Here is a 17629-nt window from a genome sequence, read left to right on the forward strand (position 1 = left end):
GGTGGGGCTAATCTAACCCCTCCCACATGCAGGAGGGGCCCCTGACTAACCCGACCGACCAGAGAATTCCATTCCTGGGTTACATGATTGCCCAAGTGTGGGCATGCAGCCCAAGTCAAGACATGAGACTCTAGCGCCACGTGTCTATGAAAATTAATGGAAATGAGGTGATAGCTTCCTGCTGCAATTTCTAAACAGAGAAGTTAAGACCTGTATCCCCTGCTGAAATAATCTAACAAACAGAAAAGTGGAGCTCAGAGATAGGGAGAAAGAGAGCTAAAGCTAGAGTTGGAGCTGGCACTAGAGAGAGAGAGAGCTGTATTTATAAATCCATATTTATATTGAATCTCTCCATGTACATCTACCACCAATACATCTTTATATATCTCAACTTATATACCTATCTATCTTATCTATCTATCTATCTATCTATCTATCTATCTATCTATCTATCTATCTATATATCAATCTATCGTTTTAATGAATAATATACCTTGATGTTTATCTCTGGATTTTTCAGTTATATAAGCCAATGGAGTCTGTTTTTGTTTAACACAGTTTTTGTTTGATTTTTGCCACTTGCAAGAGTCCTGACCCACATGCATACTTTCCTCACATAGACATTGTGAAGATGTAATGAGATCATTCATCTTGAGCGCTTGGCTGATTGTCTTATACATAAAAAGTATTCAAAATTGGAGACATCATATTACCCAACTTCAAATTATACTACAAGGTTATAGTTACCAAAACAGCATGGTATGCATAGAAATAGGCATGTAGATCAGCAAACAGAACAGAGAACCCAGAAATAAAGCCAAATACTTACAGCCAACTGATCTTTGACAAAGCATACGAAAATATAAATTGGGGAAAGGACATCCTATTCAATAACTGGTGTTGAGAAAACTGATGGGCCACATATAGAAGAATAAAACTGGAGCCCCATCTCTCACCTTATACAAAAATCAACTCAAGATGGATCAAAGACTTAAATCTAAAACCTGAAACCACAAAAATTCTAAAAGATAACATCAGAAAAACTCTTCTAGACATTGGCTTAGGCAAAGAATTCATTACTAAGACCCAAAAAGCAAATGCAACAAAGATAAGTAGATGGGACATAATTAAACTAAAAGCCTTCTGCACAGCAAAAGAAACAATCAGCAGAGTTAACAGATAACTCACAGAATGGGAGAAGATCTTCACATTCTATACATCTGACAAAGGACTAATATCCAGAATCTACAAAGAACTCAAATACATCAGCAAGAAAAAATAAAAAATCCCATCACAAAGTGGGCTAAGGACATGAATAGACAATTGCCAAAGGAAGATGTACAAATGGCCAACAAAGATAAGAAAACCTGCTCAACATCACTAATCATCAGGGAAATGCAAATTAAAACCACAATGAGTTAGCATCTTACTCCTGCAAGAATGGCCATATTCAAAAAGTCAAAAAACAATAGATGTTGGCATAGACGTGTTGAACAGCAAACACTTTTGCACGCTGTTGGGAATGTAAATTAGTACAACCACCATGTAAAAGAGTGTGGAGGTTCCTTAAAGAACTAAAAGTAGAACTCAAGTGACGGGTGCAGTAAAATCTCAGAAATCACCAGTTAAGAACTTATCCATGTAACCAAAACCCACATGTACCCTAAAACTATTAAGATTAAAATTTAGAAAATTGTCTTTCCAGGACTCTGCTTTCTCTCAAACAGACAAAAATTAGTGGCTAGTAATAATGCTAGTTACATTTGTAATGGCGGTAACATACTCAAGGGAGCCCAGAAGCTATGAATTAAACCTTCACCATGGATTTCATTCTTCCTTTGCGGAATAAGCTGTTTAAACTCAAGGAAATTTCATTTCTCTGTATCGCCTTTTCACGTCTGTAAGTTTGTGATAATCACACTCTCCACACTTACTTTCAAGGTTGCTCTCTGCCTCCTCTATACTTTCTTAATAGTTATGTATAAAGCCTGCAGGCTAGCATCTGTTTAATTTGCCTACTTCTGCAGATGAATATGCATTTCTTAGTTTATGAACCAACTGAGTTTGTGGCAATTTGTTAAGGCAGGAATAGAAAACTAATACAATCGGTTCTTAGTAAATGTTTGTTGACTGAGTAAATTTCAAGAGAAAATTCTCAGAAGAAAAGAAGGCAGAATATACTTCTTAGTAGGAAAAATATTATACAAGAGAAAGAATATAAACTTACACATATTCACCACATTTATTCTTACAATGTCTCCCTAGAACAGCAAGTCTAGCAAAGTATTTTATAATAACAGCAGGGAAATCATCAATGGTAGGCTAGATGAAGAAAACGTGGTACATATACACTATGGAATAGTATGCAGCCATAAAAAAGAACAAGATTATGTCCTTTGCAGAGACATGGATGGAGCTGGAGGCCATTATCTTTAGTAAACTAACACAGGAAAAGAAAACCAAATACTGCATGTTCACGCTTATAAGTGGGAGCTAAATGATGAGAACACATGGACACAGAGGGGAACAACACACATTGATGTCTTTTGGAGTGGAGAAGGTGGAAGAAGGGAGAGGATCAGGAAAAATAACTAATGGGTACTAGGCTTAATGCCTGGGTGATGAAATAATCTGTACAAGAAACCCCCATGACATGACTTTACCTATATAACAAACCCATGCATGTACCCCTGAACTTAAAATAAAAGTTTACAAAAATCAGGGAAATCATTTATAAGTCTCTAGAATCAAGCTAGTAATGAGAAAGTTACTCCAATTCCAAAATAAAGTTCAGGTGAAAAGAAAAAGCATTCTCAACAGCCAAGATGTAGAAACAATTAGAGTGTTCATCAATGGACAAATGGAAAAATAAACTGATATATAAGAATATAACATAGAATATTTTTCAGCCTTAAAAAAGGTAGAGATCCTGCCACTTGCCACAATGTGGATGAACCTAGGGGACATTATGTTAAGTGAAATAAGCCAGACACAGAAATAAAAATATTACATGATGGCACTTACATGTGGAATCTAAAAAACCAAAAAAGTTCAAATATAGAGAGATGATAAAACAGTGGTCTCCATGGTGGGGGAGATGGGGAGATGTAGGTCAAAGGATGCAAAGTAGCAAATATGGAGGATGAACAGGTTGAAGGATCTAATGTAGAACATGAGGACTAATAATAGCGTATTGTATTCAGGATTTTTGTTAAATGAGTAAATTATGGCTGCTCTTGCCACAGGGGTTGGGGGGAGGTGACCAAGTGAGAGGATAGACATGATAAATTTGTTCCACTATTAACCATTCTCCTATATATATGTTTGCTATGGTTTGAATGTGTCCCCTGAATCTCATGTGTTGGAAACTTAATCCTCAAATTTATATGTTGATTGGAGGTGGGGCCTTTGGAAGGGACTTAAGATCACATAAGGTCATCAGAGTGGGGCCCGCTGGTAGAACCTGTGGCTTTGTAAGAAGAGGAAGAGATGCCTGAGCTGGCAGGTATGCTCTTGTGCTCTGGGCAAATGATGTCCTCCACCACACTACAACACAGCTGGAAGACCCTCACTAGAGGTGTCGCTAAACCTTGGACCTCCCAGCCTCCAAAACTGTCAGAAATAAATATCTTTTCTTTATACATTACCTAGTCTTTGGTATTCTGTCATAGCCACATAAAATGGACCAAGACAATGTATCTTATAACATCATATTGTATATCTTAATGTACCCTAAATACGCAAAATACAATTTATTTATTTTTTAAAAAGAGCATAGAAAAGCAATGGACCAAGCTAAGTGGGAAGTCAGATGTGCTGGCTTTTCCTGTGGGCTTTCCTGTGAACTTGGGAAAGCTACTGAATTTCTCTATTCTTCAAATTTATTTATTTGCTAAATTTAATTGTTGAGCTACCGTGTTAGACAAATATGACCAAGAAAGTCCCTGCCTGCTTCTTCATGTGTGGCTGATGTTCCTAGCCGTTCACTGCATCCACTCTCGTGTCTGCATTCTCCCTTCAGGCTGAGGCTAGCAGTCCACAGTAAACAACATGGCACTCACCTGCTGGAGTGGGGCAGCAGCTTGGCCCCTTCCAGCTCTACAGCTCTGTGATTTTACGTGAGGAATTTCTTTAATCATTTGTCCACACTTGCTTTTGTGTGTGTGCGCAAATTGATGGAGCTCTTGATTTTTTAATAAATTTGAAGTTTCCTCATGGAAATTTTTATATCCTTTAAAATGTTATTCATCCCTTTGTGGAAATAATGACGGAAATGAAGGGAGATAGAAACCAATTTTCCTGGTAAGGATTAAGGCTGAGAATTTGAAAGCTGTCCAGAAATTAAATAAAACAGTTATATAAAAGTATTAGTCTATATTTCCTTTCAGAACCTTAAATATGAACCCATAAAATAAGGCTGGGAATGACAGAACAAATATACTTTCAAATGGAAGAAAATTTTCCTAGAGATAGAAAGTTTATCTGGCTAGTTTTGAGATTTTCTTACTCTTTCTTTTTCTTTTTAAATAGGTTTAATTTTTAGTGCAGTTTTAAATTTTCAGCAATATTGAGCAGAAACTACAGAGAGTGGCTTGATTTTTCAGAGGAAAAATTCCCTAACTGCAGTTTCCTGAGCTGATGGGTTTTCAGATTTAGGTCTAAAGTCTTCCAATTATTAAACCATGATTAATGGGACATAGCACACACAGCAGCATTGCAAATTGATTGTGCTTCTAAATTCCTTCAAAAGGAGATTCATAAAATTTACAAAAATAATTTTACTTTACAATTAAAGACTATCTGCAATGTTAATACCCTTTCTTCGTTACTACTCTCTGCGTAATTATCATCCTCTAAATCCTGCTGGCTGAGCTCCCTCGATGCCTTTGTAATTCCTTTTTATTTCTTCCTGTCCTCTAATCCTCCAGAACTTCTGAAGCATGCAGAATTCGCCTTCATACAAGAGTTGGAATTTGTTCTTTGCTTGAACAAATAACATTGAATATGTCTGTTTTACTCCAAAACTTAAAGGCATTGCTCAGCGTATTCCTCTGCTAGGGGAGTCATCACAAAATCCCACATACTAGGGGGCTTAAACAACACAATTCAGCTTCTCTCATTTCTGGGGCTAGATGTCCAAAATCAATGTGTTGGCAGGGTTGGCTCCTTCCGGGGGGTTTTCAGGAAAGCTCTGGTATGGGCCTTTCTTCTTGGCTTGTAGACGATCATCTTCTTCCTACATCTATTCACATTGTTTTATCTCTATGTGTCTATATCCAAATTTCCCCTTTTTATACGCTGTTATGGGAAGAATTGCATACTCCAAAAACGTACCTGTTGAGGCCCTAACTCCCAGTACGCTAACATGTAAATGTATTTCACAATATGTGTGTGTAAGGCCTTCAAAGGGGTGCCATGAGGCTTTTAGGGTGGGTCCTAGTTCAATAGGACAGATGTCATTATTGGGGTGCCATGAGGCTTTTAGGGTGGGTCCTAGTTCAATAGGACAGATGTCATTATTGGGGTGCCATGAGGCTTTTAGGGTGGGTCCTAGTTCAATAGGACAGATGTCATTATTGGACACAGAGAGGAAATTTGGACACACAGAGAGACCCTAAAGATGTGCTGGCATGGAGGCAAGACCATGTGAAGACACAGCGAGAAGGCAGTGTCTACAGGCCAAGGAGAGAGGCCTCAGAAGAAACAAAACCTTGATCTCAGATGTCTAGTCTTCAGAAGGGCGAGAAAATTCATTTTTGTTGCTGAAGCCCTGTAGCATGTGGTATTTTGTCACGGCAGCCCTAGTGGACTAACACATACACTAATTACATTGGACTAGGGCTCATCCTAATGACCCATTTTAACTTGAAGAGCTCCATAACCAAGTTATTTCCATATACGGTCACATTCTGGGGTGCTGGGGGTTAGGATGTCAACATCTGAATTTGGAGAACAGGGGATACAATTGAACACATGACACTGAGTTTGGGGTACCTATTCAAAATGTAAGTTCCATAAGCTTAGATGCCACATCACTTTTCAGCCTTTGTTTTAAGTTCCAGCATTCCAGGTAGCGGAGGTGTGTGGCGGCGGTGTGAACTCCATTCAGCAGAAGCCTCCATACTGCATTGACAGGAGGGTGGGATACAAGGACAAAAAACAGCTTTGACATGAAATACTGAGATGCTTCTTTCTGACTCCCAATGGAGGACACTTTGTTAAAGTGCATCCAACCATCAGCCCCCTTGCCCCTTCACAGCATTGCCACAGACACCCGTGGGCGGGAGCATTGCAGGCTGTGCAGAGCATGGCTGACCTTCGCTGCTTGTCCTGAGTGACACCTCCCACCACAGAGCTTCTTCTTGCTCAAAGGACGGAGTTGCTACTCACTAATGAACTCATCCAATGTTTGCTTATTGAACACAAACAATGTGTCTGGCACTTTTTTGGTGTCCTGTGGACACACCAGAGGACATAAGTTCTTACCTTAACCCAACTCACCAAAACGAGAAGGAGAGAGGAAAGTGTCCTGTGATTAAAATGCAGCCCAGTGAGCACCACAGCAGCAGAAGCACAGGGTGCTCTGGGCACACTTGCTCTAAACTCCCCCTTGGGGGTCAGGGAGGACCTCCTCCTGGGAGCCACAGTTACTTCAGGATTAGCCAGAGGAAGCTTTGACAGACGGGCATCCCAGGCAGTGGGGCTTCACATGCTGGGTGGCTATATCTGGGGTGTTGGGTCCCAAAGAGGAAGTGATGATGAATGAGCTCGGGGGGCGGTGGGAAACAGGTCAAATCAAGCCAGGTTAAGGAGCTTGCAGACTCTCCTAAGGGAATTAGGACTTCGAGCGAGGGGCATGATCTGTGCCAAAAATGGGTTACATGGCAAGCATCTCCCACACGATGAATGCACAGACTCTTTCATCCGTCTCTACTTCTTGGTAGACATTTATTTTACAGTAAAATTCATAAGCTGTGGTAAATGATACAGCAACAAAAATATGCCTTGCAGAACTGCATTTAATAACAGATGGCTAGGAATAACTCAAATGGCCATTAGTCAGGAACTGAGTAAACTGAGTAAATAAACAATAACAAGTCTGTAACCCATGACATCAGTCGCCAGTTGGCTGGAGGAGGTGACTTGATCTTGCCTGTTTTGGGTCTTTTGGATGTTGTGTCATGAGCACCACTTATCAATTCAAACATAAGCATGCACACTTTATTTCAATATTTCGAAAGTATGTAATATCAACTGCTGTAGTCCCGGTGACTTTAGTGCGGCCACAGGACCTGTTCCTACTCATTGGTGGCATCAGACGTAACTCTGAGGTTGAACCTTAAGGACCCTGGAGCTGCGGGGCCAGGGGGACCGAGTGAAAATGAACACTCATCCAGTGAAATTGCCTATTTACCACATCGGCAGACACGCCACTGCAATGAAGAGATGGCGACTGAGAACTATTTTGGCTTTTGTCTCCAGTTCTCAAAAACTGGCCTTTCCATGTGATCCCTTCCAAGGTCTATGATATGTGCATGTACGTTGATATCTATCTATCTATCTATCTATCATCTATCTATCTATCTATCTATCTATCTACCCATCCATAAGTTGATAAGTTGATAGATATCTCTCAATGTATAGGCACATATCATAGGCCTTGGAAGAGATCAGAAGGAAGTTTCTCTAGCTCTTCACAGTTCACAATGAAATGCTACATCTTAAAATTCCCTCTGGGGAGGCCCAGGTGGGCAGATCACGAGGTCAGGAGATCGAGACCAGCCTGGCTAACACGGCGAAATGCCATCTCTACTAAAAATACCAAAAAACCAGCCGGACGTGGTGGCGGGCGCCTGTAGTCCCAGCTACTCGGGAGGCTGAGGCAGGAGAATGGTGTGAACCCGCGAGGGGGAGCTTCCAGTGAGTCGAGATCGTGCCACTGCACTCCAGCCTGGGTGACAGAGCGAAATTCTGTCTCAAAAAAGGAAAAAAAGAAAGAAAAAAAAATGACCTCTATGAGAAGAATTTACTATGCAGCGAGCAACAGGTCCTATCTTGGGACAATTATTTCCCTTGTGATTGAAATTATTTTCATTTCCCTTGCAATGTTTGTTCCCGCGTACTTGAAGGTGGACTTCCTGGGGCTTTCTCAGCCCACTTACACACAAAAAAAGACTAAAACATGGCAAATGTCCCTAAGACAAGCCCAAAAAGACATCTCCCTCACTCCCTCAGGTAATGACATATTCCGTAAAGGAGGAGCTATTAGTGAAGGTTGCCATGAGCCTTACTTTCTGGCAGGAGTGAGTTTCGGTGGCGAGGTCGGCATTTTCAGACTCTCTATGCCTGGGTTCGTCACTCTTTTGACCCCATAAATTGGTTAATAAAGGTACAACATACCATATTTAGGACTGAACCAGTAGTGTCAGATGATAACATAATAACCGGAGAACCATCATCTTAAAATAGCATTCTAGAAGTTTTATTCCTAACTGAACTTTTTATTTTCAAGTTTTCTTCTTGGAGAATTTACACATTTATTCCATCAGTGCTGCTATGCCTAAATTAAATTCACTCTTTCTTTTTTTAATTTGGAATTAACTTTAAAACTAATTTTAAAGTTCTGCTTACAAATTGGTCTTCAGTTTTTAAACCTAAGGTATTTCTTACTTATTACCTACATTATCTGGAAATTTAGCTATTTTGATTGTATCTATATATAAATTGGATATTTGAATGATGTATAAATTATATAAATATATGTTGATATGGTATAGATATTATATATTATATATACAATCTATTATATATTATAAAATAGCTATAACACAAGGATAAGGTGATTTGGATTCATAATAATATTCACACAGACATTTTAGAAACTTTAGCTCTGTTCTTACCCTTTATACTAATTTATTTGTGTGTGTGTGTATTCATCCTAAGAATCTCACTAACCAATCTGACAAAATTAGCCATCTAAGCAAAAAATTTTCCTGAGAACAATGACCTAGACAGTCTTCTTTTCTTTATTTAACCAGAAAAATGTCTATGTTCCAAAGTGCTTGTAACATTCATTTTTAATGTGACGTGTGATGTTGAGAAATCAGGACATGTTTGTTGAACAATGAGATTTGCAATGCAAAGACAGCAGGCTGTGGGCGTGATCACCTTCCGTTAACCTACTGACTGACTTTTTCCAGCTGTACATAGCAAGGAAACAATGGCTTACACATGAATTTCAGGATGGGCTGGCTGGTCGTTTCCTGTTCCACTACAAATGCTGGACTAAGAGCCAGGAAATGTGGAGCTATTCTTGTTTCTGCAATTGCTTGTTTTGAGGGAGTGGTTAATCCTCAAGGCATCAAACTAGATGACTTCAGTAATTTTGGTTTGTCTAAGATTGACTGAATCTATAATTGCACAGGATAATTTCATTGTTCAAATTAGTCCAGTATCCAGAACAGCTACCAAGTGGGCATAAATTCTTACAAAGAATTCGCGAATTCTTCACATCTTCACAAAGATGTCTTACTTGCAGACAAGATAGGTAAATACTCTCATTGAATAAGATTTCACCTGTTCTGGGAAATCTCACTTGGCCATATTCTTCCTAAACTGACATTCCAGAATTCAAATCTTTCCTTTGGCTTCCCGCTTTGACAGCCACTGTGTGGTCAGTAGTTCTAAGTTCACTCAGTCACGTTGAATGCAGGGAAACCTTTGTCACGGGTGTGTGTTATCGCCTCCTGGCTGTAGAGGAGATCACTACATGCTTTGATTCAGCTTCCATCTAAGAAGAGACTCACCAGCTCAGCAGTGCAGGCGCTGGCACTGCCTCTCTGAGGGCAGTGCGCATAGTCTGGCTTGAGCAAAGGGTGACTTTCCTTCCAGAGGGTTCAGAGGGCCTGAAAATATTTGCCAGACACGGTGTCACTTCTGTGCAAGGTCAGCGAGTGACATCTTCCCTCAATGGCATCAAAAAGGACAGCCATCAGGTGCTGTGCTCCATCCCCGTGGTGCCCCCTGACATCGTGATGGGCCCTGACATGGCTCAGGCTGGGCCCTCAGTGGTTCCCTGGGGCAGCTGGCTCAGGACCCACCACTGAAGCACAGACACTTCTCAGGGCTGATTGAACTCCCGTCCCTGCAAGTGCTCCTGGCTTGGTTTTCTCCACTCTCCCTGGTCTGATGCATTTCATTTCTCCTCTTAGACCAGGCAAGGTGTAGCAATGAGAAGCAGAAGGATAACTTGAACTACGTTAGAATTTTCCCCAAAGGCTGTCGAGGTGAGCAAGCTCATGCAGGGCCTGCCCAGTTGTCAGCATGCCTGGAGGCAGAGGGGGGCAGAGGGAGGCAGAGCTCTCCCTGCTCTCCAACAAGTGTCACCCAGGTGAGCTGGAGGCAGAGAGGGGCGCCCACAAGCTCTCCCTGCTCTCCAGGTGAGCTGGAGGCAGAGAGGGGCGCCCACAAGCTCTCCCTGCTCTCCAGGTGAGCTGGAGGCAGAGAGGGGCGCCCACAAGCTCTCCCTGCTCTCCAACGAGCATCACCCAGGTGAGCTGGAGGCAGAGAGGGGCGCCCACAAGCTCTCCCTGCTCTCCAACAAGTGTCACCCAGGTGAGCTGGAGGCAGGTTGTCTTCCTCTCCCCACACAGACAAGCGTAAAACCTCATTCTCCTCTGCAGCTGCGCCTGCCGCTCCGCAAGCACCACCAGGCTGGACTACATGGGGTCCCATCTAGCTCGGGCCTCTGCTGTCAGCAGGCCTGGGCACTGTGTTCTGGCACTGGGCTCAGTACTCTTAGCCACTTGTGGAGGTGAGGCAATGAGACCTTACAGTGGGGGCGATTTTCCAAAATTCATAGCTACTGGCAGAATCCAGACATCCTAATTCCTCCTCTATTCCCTACATACATTCTCTTGCCAAAGGCAAACTTGACCTGCTGGGATCTTTATGAATATAGAATTCAGAAAAAGTAATCTTAAGTAGGAATGATCTGAACTCAAACCTAAAGATATTAACTGAAATAAACCTCAAAAAGTACAATGTTTTAATGGAAGAAGATGTCACGAACATATGAAGTTACTACATTTTACTTGGTTTTATAATCTACTCTCATTTTTTAAATTTTATTCTGGGCATACCATCTCCCTTCCCGTTTCTTTTTTGCCTTAAACTTTGACATATTTATTAAAATATTTTGTATGAGATTAAATGATGCTATAACTACACTGGTCTTTTTATTATTCTGTTTTCAGAGAAAAAAAAACCTGATTTTAAAAAATTAAATGAACATACGCATACGCAGGGGAAAATAAATAAATTGAAACGGCATAAATGTTCAAATTAAAATCTATAGAGGTATTTTTTTTTTCTACTGAAATTTTCCTCTAATGAGAACATCTTTTTTTTTTCTTTTATTATTATACTTTAAGTTTTAGGGTACATGTGCACATTGTGCAGGTTAGTTACATATGTATACATGTGCCACGCTGGTGGAGCTGCACCCACTAACTCGTCATCTAGCATTAGGTATATCTCCCAATGCTATCCCTCCCCCTTTCCCCCCACCCCACAACAGTCCCCAGAGTGTGATGTTCCCCTTCCTGTGTCCATGTGATCTCATTGTTCAATTCCCACCTATGAGAACATCTTTGTCTTTTAAAAATCTTTCTCAACTCACTGGTCATGTGAGGACTGGATTTTTGCAAATGTTTTTTCTTTTGCAGTTGTGAAGTCACTCACAAGTAAACCGTGAGATGCCAAACATTTAAAAAAAAAATCCTTCGAATGTGATCAATATGTAGATCAATGCATTTCCTCCCCTCAGGTTATTCCCTTCCGTTGCCTGCAGGCAGTGAACGTCCTTTCAGACTCTCTGCAGGCGCGCAGAGTCGCCACCAGGGGGCGCCCATCTCCCATTGCAGCCTCAACCGCCTGTCAAGTAAGGAACAACAGCAGCCCACAGTATTTTCCCCAGAGACAGAAACATAACCTTATTCCTGTCACAGCTCAAAAAGAAAGAAAAAGAAAAAAAATGGAATGCAGAATTTACATAGAATTCTTAAAATATGTTTTATCTCCATTGTCAGTAACCCCCAGCAGACCAACTTTTACTTTTATTCCTTCAATAATTTCCCTCTGTAAGAGAGCAGTAAATCATGGCTGGTCTATTTTATCTATCAATCAAATGATAATTTTCTTAATGTTTGTTACCATAGCACCCACAGCCTGTGCTCCTCTGCTGCCTCTGTTTTCTTCAGCTTGGTTCACTGTTAAAGGTAAGCAATCAAGGATTTCTCCAGGGGACTCTGGAATGAGGCGAGGGAGTGTGGAGAGGGAAGCCCACGTAATTACCACGATGACGGGTTGACATCGTAGAATCCAAAAACGACTTCCACCCCCTCACTTTAAAGATGAAGCAACTGAGTTTCTAAAATAGCACTGCATTATGCGAACTGAGCTTGCAAACCCAACAGAACCCACCTTGACAAATTTTAGCTCAATAATGCCTAACATTAAATGACATGTTTCACCCTGACAGCACCTCAGAATTTCTTTCCAATTAATTTTTAAAACATTTCTTTAGTCACGTGTCAGTTTTATTCTTTAATAGAAAAAAATTCAAGAGAAATCTCAGGCAAAGTGTCTTTCCTTTTATCTCCTAAGACAGAATTGGAATTAAACATATGCACGGGGATGCGCTTGTCATCAAGATCCGTGGTTAGAACATTTGGTCATGACCTTCTGTAACATCCTCAATCAAAAGCATTCTATAGTAATGGACATGCATTCTCAGATATTTCATTTTTTAAAGTAAGTTCCTGGCTTACTAAAGGATCATAGGTAGCAGATGATCAAAAATATATACATTTAAAACTTTCAAATTTGGTACATGGTGATGTGAGCACCATAAAGAAATGATGCACGAGATACTGAATTTAGTAAGTGTGACCAAAATGGTAAATAACTCCTGATCATTTACAGAAATTGTTCATTGATTCCAAGGGGTGATATTCCCTTTTTTGTGAATAATAGGAATCCTAGGTATCAGTATATAGCCAATAGGACAATGACAGGAAGAACTTGAGATCTCTAAGATTCTGGGTACAGAGAACGCTAAGAAAAGGAATCACCATGCCACTGGTTTGTCACTAAGGAGAAGCACCTTGAAGAAAACTGATGCTCACATGGACAGTATCTGTCATCAGGCCATGTGCAGTTACGTGCTTACAGAATACTTTTTTTTGAGGTCAATAAGAAAAGTAAGTGAAGAATCCTCGATATCCTAGAGGGAATTCTCCGTCCTTCTGGAAGCTGTGAATTGGATGCAGTTCAAATAGTAGGAAAACCATTATAATTAAATCTGTTGAATTTGAAGGAAACTCCACCTATTCCTTTAATTCTTAGTGAGAAATGATTGCATTTTAACATCTAGAGTGGAAATCAAATGCTTGATGATTTTTTTCAAAAAGAAAAATTGCTGGAGGCAAGAGGAAGGTCACCTTACTTGGTGAATTCTTTTTGATGAAGTTACTGCATTTTACTTGGTTTCATAACCTACTCTCATTTTTTTATTTTATTCTGGGCATACCATCTCCCTTCCCATTTCTTTTTTCCCTTAAACTTTGATATATTTATTAAAATATTTTGTATGAGATTAAATGATGCTATAACTACACTGGTCTTTTTATTATTCTGTTTTCAGAGAAAAAAAACAGAATGTAAATGGCTCACATTTACTTGCAAACTTATTTATAATGTAAACTATTTAAAAATCCGTGTACATTTGTAGGAGACGGACATCCAAAAATGTGCAACTTAAAATCTGGGAACAAATTATATGCACATATGTCTTACTAGTTTCCTTAGACGCATGACAAGCCACTCCACAGTTTAGCCAGTGGTCCTCTGGGAGCTGTCCTCTATTCTAACATCATCCAAGATGAAACCCATTCTGGGGCCCATGTCTGGGACTCTTATAAGCAACGGGCAGGCAGCTGTGATGGACAGGAGTAGAAATCTCCTTGCTCAGGTCCAGCAGTGCACTCTTTCATTTTCTTTTTCATTTGAGACAGGGTCTCGCTATGCTGCCCAGGCTGGAGTGCAGTGGCAGGATCACAGCTCACTGCAATCTCCAGCACCTGAGCTCAAGCAATCCTGTCTCTGCCTTCCAAATAGCTGCGACTACAGGTGCACATAACTGTGTCTGGCTAGTTCTTTTATTTTTAATTTTTTGTAGAGGCAGGGTCTTGCTACGTTGTCCAGACTGTCCTCAAACCCCTGGCTTCAAGCAATTCTCCTATCTCAGCCTACCAAAATTGTGTGGATTACAGGCATGAGCCACTGCATCTGGCCTCAGCAGTGCACTCTTAAGGGACACCTGTAACCGATGATGGGAAATGATGGCTGCTAGTTATCAACATGAATGAGAATTCTTCAAAGAGGCACAGGTCACACCTTAGAAAAGAAGATCAATATGAAAATTATTATCTTTTTCTGTCAGATTGTTTTACAGAACTTCAGGGTGAAATAACCTCAGAATTTATTCCATATATTTTCGAGCAATTTAAACATAAAATGAACATTAACCCAACTGAAAGTGACATAAGAACTACTGTTCTTAGGTTTCCAAATGTTCAGTGATGAGATTATCCTAGGGGGCCTCTCACGGAGATGGCACTTTTCTCTGGATCTGATAAATCTCTCTTTTCCTGCCACTTTTCCTTAATGACGTAGCTATGTCTATGAAGAAGCTGTTTTTACCAAACTCGAAAACAATTAAAACTGCAGACTGGATTCTCTGCCCATGTTGTGAAGTGAGAGATTTAATTCTACCCTGGCATTCTGAATGTGTATGGAGGAAGTGGGTGAACATTCAAACATATATTTCAGATTCACAAATACAGATACATGTAGGAAAAAGAAGATAAACGCAAACACCTCGCCCTTCATTTGGGTTTTTTGTCTACTTTGAGAACTTGGTTCAAAAACTATTGTTCTTCTCTAGGACAAAAGCCAATGTGAGTGTAAATGCATAAACACAACCTGTACATAAAAATCGAATAGCTTCTCTGAAGTCCTCATGTCACAGACACCTCATTGTCCCACAAGAAAAAAAAAATGAAGGCCTTATCTTCATGGTTATTTGTGGAATGTTGTATGCAAAATTCAATATGAATTAATAGCCTGTGTCTGGTGAATTTTGTCTCAAACTCAAAGCAAGAAGATATTGATATCCTCCTTCCCTCCTTCCCTTATTCCTTCTTTCCCTCTTCCCTCCTTCCTCCCCCTCCTCCCCCTCCAGCAGAGAGGAGCTACATAAAAAATGACTTGAGCATCAAGTCAGTAGAATAACACACAGGCCTGTGAAATCATTCTGCATTTCACTTTCTCGTGTGCAACGGCTATGGCTGGTCAATGACATAACTTGCCCTTCTCTCTTATCTGTAATCCTTGCAGCATATCCACATGGGGGAGGGTTTGGCCATTGCACTTTCTAATTTACTAGTGAAGGGGTGGTGCCTCTGAGAGAATGTACAATAGAAACAGGATGAAGGCCAATGCTCCTGACCTTCAGTCACGTGTTCTTTCCACAAGCTTGGGCAGCATAAGAAATACTAATCCAGGCTGGGCACAGTGGCTCACGCCTGTAATTCCAACACTTTTGGGAGGCCAAGGAGGGTGGATCACTTGAGGTCAGGAGTTGGAGACCAGCCTGGCCAACACGGTGAAACACCGTCTCTACTAAAAATACAAAAATTAGCCAGGTGTGGTGGTGCACGCCTGTAATCTCAGCTACTCGGGAGGCTGAGGCATGAGAATCACTTGAACCCCGGAGGCGGAGCTTAAAGTGAGCCGAGATCACACCAGCCTGGGTGACACAGAGCGAGACTCCATCTCAAAAAAAAAAAAAGAAAGAAATACTCATCCAGTTCTTAGGGCGAGCTTTGGCAGACTATCTCTTGATAGCTTATCACTTAGAACACTGTGGCTAATGAATACGTATGTAAATAAGCGATGCTGAAATAATTTGATAAATTCTCATGTTGAGCATCTTAATATGCTACTCTGTTTTAGAGGAGTTTGGCAAGTCTAATGTCAGAAGAGCATTTTCATGTGTCTCTACACATATGATGGTGTTTTATCCTTACACTTGAAAACAAAACGTGCTACAGCTTGAGCCACGTAATTCCAGGGACGCCTTATAGCATTATTGTTATAGAAGAGAATGCAGAGCCACCACTCGGATTATCACACCACCCTGGCAAAGTATCTTGTTCTCACCATTTAATTATCTTTTTATTTTTTAAAAAAAGGCTCTTGCTCTTTATATCTTATTCTGTCTAAATTATGTAATGCTTATAAATATCCAGAAAAGGAGTGCTGATATTGGTGTTTTGCCCAGTCTGACTCATTTGCTGAAAGAAGTAAACATCGTTTAATGGATAGACTTGTTGTGTGGCTCTAATAGACACACACACACACACACGTACAATTTAGGCAGATATTTTTAATGCTCTTAATACTTTTTACAGATAAAGTAACATAAAAATTCTCAGAAAATAAAATAAAAGAAAATAGGCAAGAGAACATAAACTTCTGACTAATTTGAAAAGCATTATTTCACTGGCCTTAGCACATCTCCTGTTCTTATGGAATTCAAAGGCAATGCAGGCTGAATCTAACCTATACTAGGTCACATGTAAGTATATCTAATGATTGCTAATATTTTGCCATCAGATTTCTTCTTTCACACAGTGAATAACTGTGGTCTCAGTTACAGATAGACCATGTGGTACAGAAGCTGAATCATTTCCAGACCTGTTGAGGGGAGCTTTCGGTGCTTCTATTAGTGAAAGTGCGGAAAACTACCAGCCGCATCTTCAAGGTTATATCAGTGAAAGGAAACAGCAAAGCAAACAAACATCACACAAGAAAGCAAAACCACCGGAGACTGGTGTACAGACTCCCACCCGGCACTGTACCTGTACAGATGAAACTGGAGAGGCCTCCGTAGATGACTTCATCATTGTCGGGCAATATAAATGGACACCTCGTCTGAACCTCCAAACAGTATTGCTTGCAAGGAATTGTCTTTCTGCAGTTAAACTGTGTGACTTCAAAATACTGGGAACAGAGCCAGGCTTTGTAGACAATCTGAAAAAAAGAGAAGAATGAAAAATATAGAGGCGTGACAACAGTTACAGTGATAGAGGCACTGTGAGAAGCGTGCAAGCGTGCTGTGGTTTCAAGTGGATCCTAAGAGAGCCCTCATTGTGAGAAAGCGTATTTACACAACGACAGCTGCAAGTGATAAAAACACAGCAACGAAAGTCTCCGCAATAAAAGCAAAACAGTATTTGATTGCATCCCTAATAGAATGTAAAAGGTATTTTGACCTTTAATTTTATGTGGCTTATTTGAAAATCAGTGGATTTAAGCAGGAAGTTAATTTTTCAAAATTCAGCGATATCTAAAGTAAAATAAATAATTGACTCTATTGCTCTTCTGTGCTGTAGTTACTTGCAACGTGGCTGATGAGCCAGTTCCCTCCACACGGAGTCCCACGTCTATGCCTCCATAGGACGCTAGATGGCGCGAAGCACTTTATAAAGATGGCCCAGCAGGG

At 40.5% G+C, this 17629-nt stretch overlaps 1 protein-coding gene across 1 annotated transcript in view; it reads right to left on the reverse strand.

Moving 5' to 3' along the window:
- The window catches only part of NALF1 (NALCN channel auxiliary factor 1), a 703987-nt gene that overhangs the window by 30089 nt on the left and 656269 nt on the right, over positions 1 to 17629 (reverse strand). The window contains exon 2 of the mRNA NM_001080396.3: positions 16986 to 17157. Within this exon, the coding sequence (NP_001073865.1) occupies positions 16986 to 17157 (172 nt within the window). The remainder of the gene's footprint in view (positions 1 to 16985; positions 17158 to 17629) is intronic.

This window comes from Homo sapiens, chromosome 13 (assembly GCF_000001405.40).
Source record: "Homo sapiens chromosome 13, GRCh38.p14 Primary Assembly".
Classification (NCBI taxonomy): Eukaryota; Metazoa; Chordata; class Mammalia; order Primates; family Hominidae; genus Homo; species Homo sapiens.